Source organism: Homo sapiens, chromosome 6, assembly GCF_000001405.40.
Source record: "Homo sapiens chromosome 6, GRCh38.p14 Primary Assembly".
Taxonomy (NCBI): Eukaryota; Metazoa; Chordata; class Mammalia; order Primates; family Hominidae; genus Homo; species Homo sapiens.
The window spans coordinates 21,213,069-21,225,222 of NC_000006.12; the positions used below are offsets into that span (position 1 = coordinate 21,213,069).

The 12,154-nt window shown below is 42.3% G+C and overlaps 1 protein-coding gene across 6 annotated transcripts in view, besides 1 other annotated feature; it reads left to right on the forward strand.

Annotated features, from left to right (window-relative positions):
• CDKAL1 (CDKAL1 threonylcarbamoyladenosine tRNA methylthiotransferase) overlaps positions 1-12,154 on the forward strand; it is a 697,948-nt gene that overhangs the window by 678,612 nt on the left and 7,182 nt on the right. The gene's annotated exons all lie outside the window — the stretch shown is intronic.
• Positions 10,073-10,590: an enhancer, noted in NCBI's record as "NANOG hESC enhancer chr6:21223372-21223889 (GRCh37/hg19 assembly coordinates)". NCBI's record gives its function as "activates a minimal SCP1, AML or CMV promoter by ChIP-STARR-seq in primed H9 embryonic stem cells {active_cell/tissue: H9 hESC(primed)}" and the evidence as "EXISTENCE:reporter gene assay evidence [ECO:0000049][PMID:30033119]".

Here is a 12,154-nt window from a genome sequence, read left to right on the forward strand (position 1 = left end):
AACATCCGTTTTGAAGGAATAGAGTAGCCCTTACGCACATCAGGTCAGACCGTGGGTTTGGCATTTTGGCTCTGTTCCTTACTAATTGTGATCACTGGTCACTTACCCTCTCTAGGTGTCTTTCCTCATCTATAAATTGGGAGGAATAGAGTCCATTTGATAGGATGGTTTTGATGTCGAAGTGAGATAAAGCTTGGGAAGCCCTGAACGCTGCCTGACACGTAGAAGTGATCAGTGAATATGTGATGTGGAGTGGGGGGCATGGTGATAGTGAAGATTTACTTGGGGCCTGGTTGATCAAGATACTAATAATATCTCGTTCATGAACATGGATGATGTTTTGCCCTAATCACCTATATGCCATGAGACGAGGAATTGGTCATTGGTCTTTTTAAACATACAGTCTTTATAAGCAGCAATAGCATTTGTAAAGGATAGCTGCCTGAAATAAATTCTTTGAGTTTTTCAGTTCCCCCTTTTCACTGACTTTGAGTAGCTGTTTCTTTTGTTATCCTTCATGTGAGCACAGTTCCTCTGAACAATCACAAAGCATCTATGGTGTAAGATAGTGGCATTCACTACAGGTCTTCTTCTCTTAAATATTCTTGTGGGAAGTGATTTCCCCTGCCGTGTACTATATTATCTGAAAATGAAACAATCTGCCTAACGAGTCTCCCTGTTTCTACCCTGAATATAAACCAGATTGTGTCTCTCTCCTCCTCAAAACCATCTAGTGCTCCATATGACTCAGAGCATTCCGTATATAGCCAACAGAAGGGAAACCAGGGACTCAGATACTTATATCCCAATATTCATACCAGCATTATTCATAAATAACCCAAAGGTGGAAATAACCAAAGTATCTATCAACAGATGAATGGACAAACAAAATGTGGTATGTAGTAGAATGGAATTTTATTCAGCCATAGAAAGACATGAAGTTCTGACACATGCTACAGCATAGGCAAATCTGGAAACATGATGTGAAGCAAAATAAGCCACACCAGAAAGGGCAAATATTATATAATTCCACTTATGTGAAATATTGAGAATAGGCAAATTCATAGAGACAAACTAGGTTAAAGCTTACCAGGAGCTGGGCGTGGAGATGGGGAGTTCCTTAAGGGTTACAGAGTTTCTGCTTGGGGTGATAACATTTTGGAAATAGTAGTAATGGTTGCACAACATGGTAAATATAATTAATGCCACTAAATTGTGTACTTCAAAATTGTTCAAATGTTATTTTATATATATATATATACATACCATATAAAAATTTTTACAAAAATCATCTAAGGTTTCCCAGCATGTTCAGAATGAAAGCCAGAGACCCTACAACAGCCTCAAGGATCAAGGTCCCATGCCTTGACCTCTCTCCCCTCGAGAACACTGGCCTCCATGCTGCTCCTTGAACATGAACACACGAGGTCTGCTCCCTCAGGAGGGCCTTTCCAACTGCTGGTCCCTCTGCTTGGAATGCCCATCTCTTAGATGTCCCTGGTACATACTTCATTCAGGTCTCTGCTGAAGCACCAGCTTATCAGTGAGGTCACCCTGGGCAGTCGTCTATAAAACCCCAAGCCCTCACCATCCAACACAACCTAGTACTTCCTATTCTTACTCTACTCTATTTTCTCCATGGCACATTTTATCACCAGACATATTAAATATTTACATGTTTCTTTTGCCTCTAGTTACCAAAATTGAAGCCCCATGAATGCTGAGACTTTACTTCATTCACCTTTGTGTCCTTAATGACTAGGATAGGGCCTGGCAGGGAGCAAATGCTCAGTAAACGTCTGTTGGATGAATGAATGAATGAATGAATGAATGAATGAATGAATTTGTTCCGGAGATATATGTATACCCCTTACTGAAAAGGACTGCAAGACCAAAAAGCTGGTTATCCTAGATATGGGTTATCTTTTGCCATGATAAATGCCCTATGACAACCAACCACAGAACTGCAGTGGGGCTCAGCTGATCTCAGCCTGGCTCACTCACACATCTGCAGTGCACTGTAGGGTAGCTCAGCAGCTCTTCTAAGCTTGGTGGGGCTTCCTAAAATGTATGGAGGTTCAGCAGGCATTTGGTGGATCTAGATGGCCTCAACTGGGACTCCGTGGGTGAATCAGCCCTGCTCCGCATGCCTCATCCTTCAACTGGCTGACCTGAGCATGTTCCCGTGGTAAAGGCAAAGGAATAGCAAACAGACATGCACAAGTGCTTTTCAAGCCTCTGCATGCATGATGTTTGGTAGCATCCTGTTGGCCAAGTAAATCACATGGCCAAGACCAGGGACACACTACAGAGTTATGTGACAAGAAGATACAGATACAAGGAGGTATAAGGAATTGGGAATATTAATGTATTCAGTCTACCACACCCTATGAAATCTTGGTGTTTTTGCCTGTGATCTGCGCAACTTTCCTCCTCCTTTTCTACGTCCCCAGAAGACATCACATTCAGTTTCAACCTGAGATCTAATCCTTTCAGCTCTACAACTCAGTGTCTTGTTTTTAGGTAGTGAGTTGTAGAGCTGGAAGGGTTGGATCTGGTAAAAAGAATCTGAAATCTAAACGTTAATGGAAGCTAAGGGACCTTGTCATAGTCTTTTCTATGAGGAAATGTCAAGTGCTCTAGATATCCGGTGCTTTTCTCTGAGGTACAATTGTACCCAGCAACTCAACAGTATCACCCTGGGGACCTGTGGTAGGCAGAATAATGCCCCCCACTTCACCCCCCAAAGGTGATCGTGTCCTAATCCCTAGAACCTGTGAATATGTTAGATTACATGACAGAGAGAATTAGGGTTGCATATGGAATTAAATTTGCTCATCAGCTGCCCTTAACATAAGGAGGGTATACTTGATTATCCAGATGGGCCCAGTGTAATCACAATGGTCCTTAAAAGCAAAAGAGAAAGGCAGGAGAATCAGAGGTCAGAGTGATAGGAATGCTGACTTCGAAGATGGAAGCAGGCTGTGAGCCTAGGGATGCAAGCTAGAAAAGGCAAGGCAATGGATTCTCCCCTACAGCCCTAGAAGGAGTCCACATCACACTTGATTTCAGTCCATTGAGACCCATCTGACTTCTGAGTTCCAGAACTAAAAAATGGTAAATTTGTATTGTTTTAAGCCATGCAGTTTATGGTAATTTGTTACCGCAGCAATTGGAAACTAATTGGGAACTTATCAGACTGATTTTATCCCATAGAATCCATGTAAAAAATGAGAAGGTGTATATTGGCAGGCTGGGCATAGTGGCTCACTCCTGTATTCCCAGCATTTTGGGAGGCCAAAGTGGGAGGATCACTTGAGCCAAGGAGTTCAAGGCTGCAAGTGAGCTATAATTGCACCACTAAACTATAGCCTGGACCACAGAGAAAGATCCGGTCTCCAGAAAAAAAATAATAATAAGTGTGTATTAGCAACCAAGTGGCTGTTCATGTCCCATCTATTTTCCACATTGACCAATCATTTTAAGAAAGGTGTGGTGGATGGGTGGGGAACACCTAAGGCATTGACAGGCGGTAAAGGAAACGTGCTAATGGAGAAGAGGGAGGTTAGCGACTGGGGCCCATCTAAGAAAAGAAAGAGATTCTTAGGGGACTGCTTGGAGAGTTAATGTTTGCAGGAAGCCCACCCACAGGTCTTGAACCCCCATCCTGGACCACTTTTTCTTCCTTTGACCAACCCTTCCCCAACCCTCATCTCCAGCCCAAATCTTGCTAGAGCTTCTAACTTACATCACATCAGCTGTGATGAGGACTTGGTGTGGCCACTTATCTGCAATCATTTCTCTAGTCTGGGTGCCATACCTAGGAGTGGCATTGCTGGGTTGGCCAGAGTGTACAGCTCCCACCTTACCAGGTAATGCCCTCCTGTCTCCCACAGTGGCTATGTTAATTTCTGCCATTACCAGCAGCAGTGTCATAGTGTTCTGGATCCTCCACATTCTCACCCATACTTGATATTGCTCATTTTTTTTACTTTTTCCAACCTGGTATATGTAAGCTGGTATTTTTGTATTTTTAACTTGTATTTCTCTAATTACAAATGAGGTTGAGCATTTTTTTTAAAATATATTTATTGGTTTTATATATATATACACACATATATATATATTCAGATTTTCTCTTCAGCAAAGAGTCTGTATAAAAAGTCTTTTGCCCATTTTCTTCTATTGGACGATACTTTTTCATTGATGTTTAGGATTTCTTTTTCTTTTTTTTTTTTTTTTTGAGTCAGGGTCTTGCACTGTTGCCCAGGCTGGAGTGCAGTGATGTGATCATTAGCTCACTGCAGCCTTGAAATCCTGGCCTTAGGTGATCCTCCCACCTCAGCCTCCCAAGTAGCTGGGACTATAGGCATGCACCACCATACCCAGCTAAGTTTTATTTTTTATTTTTTATTTTTATTTATTTATTTTTATTTATTTATTTTTTAAGATGGAGTATCACTCTGTCCCCCAGGCTGGAGTGCAATAACACGATCTCGGCTCACTGCAACCTCTGCCTCCCAGGTTCAAGCAATTCTCCTGCCTCAGCCTCCCAAGTAGCTGGGATTACAGGCGTGCACTAGCACGCCTGGCTAATTTTTATATTTTTAGTAGAGACAGGGTTTTGCCATGTTGGCCACACTGGTCTCGAACTCCTGACCTCAAGTGATCCACCCGCCTCGGCCTCCCAAAGTGCTGGGATTACAGGCGTGAGCCACCACATCTGGCTATTTTTGCAGAGACGGGAACTCGCTGTGTTGCCCAGGTTGGTCTCAAACTCCTCGCCTCCAGCAGTTCTCCTACTTTGGCCTCCCAAAGTACTGGGACCACAGGCAAGAGGCACTGTGCCCAGCTGGGATTTCTTTATGTAGTCTAGAGTCAATTATATGTGAAGCAAGTGTCTCTTCCCAGTTTGCAGCTTGTTAACCTCTCTGGTTAGAAGTTTTGTTCTTTTGTTTAGAACTTTGTATATTTTTGTGATTTGTTTAAGAAGTATGTCCTCCCTACCTTGTGGTTAGAAAGGTTTTCCTCCCATATTGTCCTAAAGTTTTTCTAGTTTTTCCTTAGCCAGGTAAATATTTAATATATCTGAAATTGATTTGTAAACATGGTAGGTAGGGGTTAAATTTCATTGTTTTATCTGTGTATAAGCAACTGTTCCAGAAAACTTTATTGAAAGTCTGTCTTTCCTATTGGTCTTCAATGCCTCTGTTATGAATCAGATTTCTAAGTATGTGTGAATTGGTATCCAGCCCTCTACTTGGCAACTTTTTGTATTAGTTATCTGTTGCTGTGTAACAAATTACTTCAAAACTTAGAAACTTAAAACAACAAACATTTATTACCTCACAGTTTCTGTGGGTCAGAAATCTAGGTGCAGCTTCTCTGGGTGCCCGTGGCACAGTACTGCTCCTTCGGCTGCAGTCAGGCTGGCAGCCGGGGATGTGGCCTTAGCTGAAGGCCCAACTGGGGAGGATCTGCTTCTAAGCTCACTTTTATGGTGATGGCAGGATTCAGTTTCTCATGGGTTGTTGCTTTAAGGTCTTAGTCCTTGGCTGGCTATTGGTCAGAGGCCTCCTTCCATTCCTTCTCCTGTGGACTTCTGCATAGTGCAGCTCACAGCATGGCAGCTGGCTTCCCTCAGAGCAAGCAAGCAAGCAGAGAGAGAGAGAGATGGAAGCTACAGTACTTTGTAACCTAATTTTGGAAGTGGCATCCATCATTTATGTTGAGCATTAGAAGCAAGTGAGTACATTCAGACCATAGCCAAGGGGAAGAGATTACATATGGGTGTGAATACCAGGAGGCGAGGCTCACTGGGGATCATCTTCAGGGCTGCCTACCATACTTTTATAGTAACATAAGTAATTAAGTTTTTTAATATTAATCTAATTTTAAGTGCCTTTCCATAGGATCATTATTTTTTACTTTTAAAAACTATATTCAAAATAGAAAGGGAGAATGGGCATGTCTTGGAACAGATTTTTGGAAGAAAGCATAATAGAACTTTGGGAGTGATAGGAAAATATGTAGAGATGTGATCTTTCTTCAGATGGTTGGGTTCAGTTTAGTGTAATTATAGTAAGTACAGTCATCTCTTGGTATCTGTGGGGGATTGGTTCCAGGACCCCCGATGGGTACCAAAATTCATGGATGTTCAAATTCCTTATATAAAATGACATAGTTTTACATATAAACTACCCACATTTTCCCATGTATTATCTCTAGATGACTTTTGATATCTAATACAATGCCTACACATCTCTTCAGATTCATGGATTCAACATAGTATTCAGTGTGTGACAAATTCAAGTTTTGCTTTTTGGAATTTTGTGGAATTTTTCCCCCCTGAGTGTTTTCTATTTGTGGTCAGTTGAACTTGTGGGTGTGGAACCCACAAATATGGAGGACCAATTGTATAAACCATGTAATTTTTCCTAACTAGTTTATCTGCATTTTCCAAGCTGCAAAACTATCATGGTGATATGTAGGAAACATTTTACATATTAGCTTCTCATTTATGAGATTCTTTGAGATAGAGAAAAGCACCTGCCGTCTCCTTTATTCGTTTTATGCAGTTTATAGAGCTCAGTGATGCTGAAACCGTATTTCCAGTGTCACTGAAAATGATACTAAGAACAGGATGAGAGGGTTGTATTGTAATAACAGCTAACATCACACATGTCTTCTTTTTCATTTAAAATACAAACCAAACATCTGCCAACACACTTTCATGGTTACCTAGTTGGAATGAAACCCTTAGGAACAATTATTTTGAGTTGAACTGATGACTTAAAGATGAAGTTTAATACACCCAATTGTTATGTTTGTGAACATCCTGGCTCAGTGCTTCCTGTGTGCGCTGCATGGAATGAGAATGGTTTCGGGTGTGAGAGACTATTGAAAAGATTTCTTCATCAGTAAAGCATCTTGACCCAATTCACCTTTTATTTCTTCAACTTTGCCACACCTGTGGGGCAGCTTTCATTCATACTGATGCTTATCTCCAGCCACTAATGAGGAATAGATGAGTTCAGGTTTCTACTACTATCATGAATGTTGGGATTACAGGCTTCATGGTTCTAAGTGTGCCTCTTGGTTCCTTTTTTATGTTAAAGCTCGTGCGTGCGTGCGTGTGTGTGTGTGTGTGTTTGCGAGCACATGTGCACTTGTCCATATATCTTAGGCTGATATTTAGTTAGCAGAAGAGACTTAAATGACAAGTTCTAGAATAATTTCCAAATTTCCAAACTTTGACCCAGTAAATAACTAACTTGTGTTTTCCTTATGTGCAGTTACTAAGAGAACCTTTTCTACGTACCTCTCTTTGGAGAAAAAAATTTAAACAATGAGGAAGCAGTAAAGATAAATGTATCTCCAGCTAAGGTGCCAGATCTCTGATAGCATACCTTCTTGGCAGGGCTTACTTTGTGGAATTGGAGAAGTTATGTATAAACAAATGCCAGCGCACCACTGTTGGCAAAGATTTCTATACTGTGTTATTAATTCTAGATCTGGTTCTTCTGTCCTACACCCTCCCCTTATTTTGGTAAATGTAACAAGCCAAAAATTAGGAAACTATTATAAGCTCATTTGAGTGAATATTTGTTACTAAGCCAAAGATTAAGACAGCTAAAAATGAAGGTATTCAGATAGAAGCCCACAGCTGGAGTGTCGAGAATGCATTACAAAGCCTGAGGGGCCACCTTTGCTCATTCCTTCTTATGAAGGTCTGATGCAGCAGTTCCTGTTAGGGATGCTTACCTTAGGAGGTGCTTCCTGAAGTTTATACTGGAGAGATTAAAATATAATTGTGGGCCAGGCACGGTGGCTCATACCTGTAATCCCAGCACTTTGGGAGGCCGAGGTGGGTGGATCACCTGAGGCCAGGAGTTCAAGACCAGCCCAGACAACATGGTGAAACCCCATTTCTACTAAAAATACAAAAATTAGCTGGGCGTGGTGGCACATGCCTGTAATCCCAGCTACTCGGGAGGCTGAAGCAGGAGAGTCACTTGAACCCGGGAGGCGGAGGTTGCAGTGAGCCAAGATCACACCACTGCACTCCAATCTAGGTGACAGAGCGAGACTCTATCTCAAAAAATAAAAATAAAATGTAATTGTGATAGAGATAGCTTATAATTTTGTATTCAATACCAGAATTTTTTTCATGGAGGGGAAACAAGGTCTTTCTCTGTCACCCAGGCTGGAGTGCAGTGGTGCCATCACAGCTCACTGCAGCCTCCACCTCCTGGGCTCAAGTGATCCTCCTACCTTAGCCTCCCGAGTAGCTGGGACTACAAGCACATGCCACAATACCCAGCTAATTTTGTATTTTTTGTAGAGAGGGGGTTTCGCCATGTTGCCCAGGTTAGTGTAGAAGTCCTGGGCTCCAGCAGTCCACCCACCTTGGCCTCCCAAAATGCTGGGATTACAGGTGTGAGCCACCATGCCCAGCCAATTTCAAGATTCTTTTCTATAGTATACTGTACTGCATAATGTATGTTTTAAGATTGTTTCCTTGCATTGGTCACATATTTGGTTTCAGTAGGTTTTCTGCAGAGCCCATATGTTCAGGCATGGTGGGGGGAAAAAAGCCTGTTCTAAACTCTAATTTATCCTGAGATCTGAGCTATCAAACAATTTTTTCTTCATCCCTGTTAGATTGCACTTCAAGCTCTTAACAGTGCCTCTGAGCCATGAGAAAAATTTACACATGAGAAATGTTTTGAAGCCATTAAAGTAAGTTCAGAGCTTAAGAGTTGCTTTCACATCTCTTGAGTCAGATGAAATGCGGGCTTACAGAGAGTAATAATTAGGTGATGGGCAGATGCCAAGCTTTGTTTTTTGATACGATTATCTCTGTCTTTCATTTGGCACCGTTCAAGTCTGCAGGTTGGGCATTCTGAAAGAGAGGGATCACTGAGACCACACAGGGGCACATCAGATCTGTTCCTTTGGTGGACGTCAAGGCAGAATTACTCAGAATATAATCTGAAATGCATTTGATCATACAGTAGATAGTTTAATAATTTATGTTCAGACTTATTAGCAAAGCCTTGTGTTTACTCTGCTGTCACCAAAATAAGATAAAAACCCACCCGTGATATTAAGATTAGACAGTTCGCATGTGTATGTATGTGTGTGTTCAAGTTTAAAATTTTTGTTCATGATTGTAATGACCTGATAGCAATTACACATTTGGGGTGAAAGGGGTAAGGGAAAAATGTCGCATGAATAATGTCTGATGTAGAATTTCTCATTCCCAGAATTGAAACAGAAAGGCTGACAGTATTGCGCTCTAATTGCGTGACTGTGTGACCGAGGTCTTATAATGGAAATGTTCTTCCAAAAGAAATGGAAAGGAGCGATTAATTCCAACTTCAATTTGTTGATCCTGTTACATTCCAGTGTACCTATAATGCTGATGGACTATGCATACAACATTGTTTTAACTGACTTCAAGATAAAATACTGGCATTTTTGGTTTGGAGATAATTGGGTACAGCTACTTATATGATATTAAAGAGCTCCCAATTTGGGGAATGTCTAGAAGAATAAAGGAGAAAGATAGCTTGGCACCCTTAATCCCCTGTATGTCCTGGTATCTGGTAATAACATGAAGCCCAGGGACAGGGTTGTCTTGTCAATTCAAGGAAGGGAGCTGGCATGTGGAATGTGATTGCAGGGCCCTGGTAACACCTGCAGGTGTCAGGGACAGAAGAACTCATTTGGAAGCTGCACCGCAAGATGGGAAGACAGGTGGCAACTCTCTTACAGGGATATCTTTTATTTGAGCAGAACCAGACCAACTGTTCCTCATTAAAACACATTTTGCAACGTGTTCTCATGTGAGCGCATCAAGTGTGTGTGCATGTGTGTGTTCAGAGCATACTCAGCGATGTGCCATCTACAGGTCACAATTACAAATTCGCAACGTGGCTCAGAACTGCAAGACAGGTAGCGTGAAATGTCTCTGCATAACATGCGGCTGACTTTTCTGGAATGGCCTCTGTAGGGAAACTCAAAATAACACCATTACCTCTGTGAGGTGCAGGGGCAAGTAAAATGGATAAAATCTATTTGGTGGGACTGTTGATCTTGATAGTCATTGTAATAACTATGCAGTGCCCTTGCTCTTTCTCATTTGTATGGAATTATCAATGTATCTCAGAAGTGTTGCTGTGGGGCTGTACTTAGTATGAGTAAAGCCAGGCCACTCATCTGCTTCACCATTTATACTATCAGAAATTTGGGCAAGTGACTTAAAGAGAGGGTTAACTCCTATTAGCTACTTCACTGAGTAGTCTGAAGGATTAGAGAGCACTTAGCGTCCTGCTGGGCACATGGTGAATGTTCTCTAAATACTCCTTCTACTTAGTATTTTCACATAGAGCCTATCCTCTGCCTTTCTCGCTGAATCCTTGTGCTTCTGGTTCTCCAGCCAGGTACCATATTACAACTTATCAATATTTTGTATGAGAAGGAAGAGGACTTGGAAGAAAGGCCTCTAAACAACATGACTTCCTTCCATTGGAAGCCCAAGCCCATCCAGCCCCCAAGAAGAGAATACTTGTAACTAGGTGAAGAAATGACTAAAGGAGGCAAAGGAATAAGTAGAAATGCAAATACCAGTTCAGAAAACATTAACTGATCATCTCTTGGGTGCCCTTTCCCTCGGAGTCTTGTCTCTTGGGGCCAAAAGACCTGTGAGGAGGACACATCTGAAGGCCCTGGAGGCCTGTTTCCTCCCCATTTTCTTAGGAAGCAGCTAGCTCAGCAAGTCTGTTAGCTCAGCAGAAGGAAAAGGCCTTAGCAGAGGCTCGGCCGTGGAGGTTTGCTGTCCTCTTCCCCCAGGAAACTTCACGGTCAGCCAGCCACACAGTCTCCTAGAGGCGCCCTATCCCTCTTTCCTTGTAAACGTGTAGAGCATCACACTTCTGTCAGAGTGTGTTCTCTTGGGCAGCTAGTTTAGCTCTGCCTGAACTGAGTACGCTTTCTGGTGGGATGCAAGCTTGGGGGCTCACATATGTCAGGAGTGGCAGGCACAGTCATGTCCCCCACCCAAAGATGTCCATATCCTAATCACCTGAACCTCCAACGATGTTACCTTACATGGCAAAAGGAACTCTGCAGATGTGATTAAGATAAGGATCTTGGAATGAGAGGATTATTCTGGGTTATCTAAGTGGGTTCAATGTAAATCACAAAGGTCCTGATAAAAATAACCCTATGATCACCTGAGGTCAAGAGTTTGAGACCAGCCTGACCAATATGGTGAAACCCCATCTCTACTAAAAATGCCAAAATTAGCCAGGCGTGGTGACACGCGCTACTCGGGAGGCTCAAACAGGAGAATTGCCTGAACCCAGGAGGTGGAGGTTGGAGTAAGCCGAGATTGCGCCACTGTACTCCAGCCTGGGTGACAGAGTGAGACTCTGTCTCAAAATAATAATAAACAATAACAATAATAATAATAGTAACCCTATGCTACTGGCTTTGAAAATGGAAAAAAAAGGGTCACAGGCCAAGAGATGTAGGCAAATTGTAGAACCTGGAAAGGGCAAGGAATCAGATTCTTCCCTGGAGCCTCCAGAAGAATGCCTCCCAGCCAACACCTTGACATAGAACTTCTGACCTCCAGAATTGAAAGAGAATAAATGCATATTGCTTCATGCCCTAGGTTTGTGGTGTTTTGTTAAAGTAGCAATAGAGAACTCACATAACATGCTGTTTCTCTGCTGGTAAGGTTTTTCCCTAGTAACCCTATTTCATATTTATACTATGTAGTATTGGTGATGTATGACTCCTTGTCCCATTTACTTGTCAGTCTAATAAGAAATGTAAGAATAGGTAAATGGCAGTTCATATGGAAGGGATATTTGCTCCTATATAAAATGTGAATATATGGTAGTAAGTAACAGGTAGCAATGGCAGTATGCATTCAGCTAACACTGGCCCCTCCTAGGTACCAGGTCCTGGGCATCTATTGGAGAGAAAGGCCACCCCTGCTCAGAAGGAGCACGCTTAGGGTGATGCAGGAGCCAGGATCCAGCAGGGTGCTCACCACTGTTGACACGCGCCATGAGGAGGGCCAGCTGACAAGACGAGCAGGCCCACACGGGGTGGGCAGTGGTTGAGAGAGGTTTTCCTA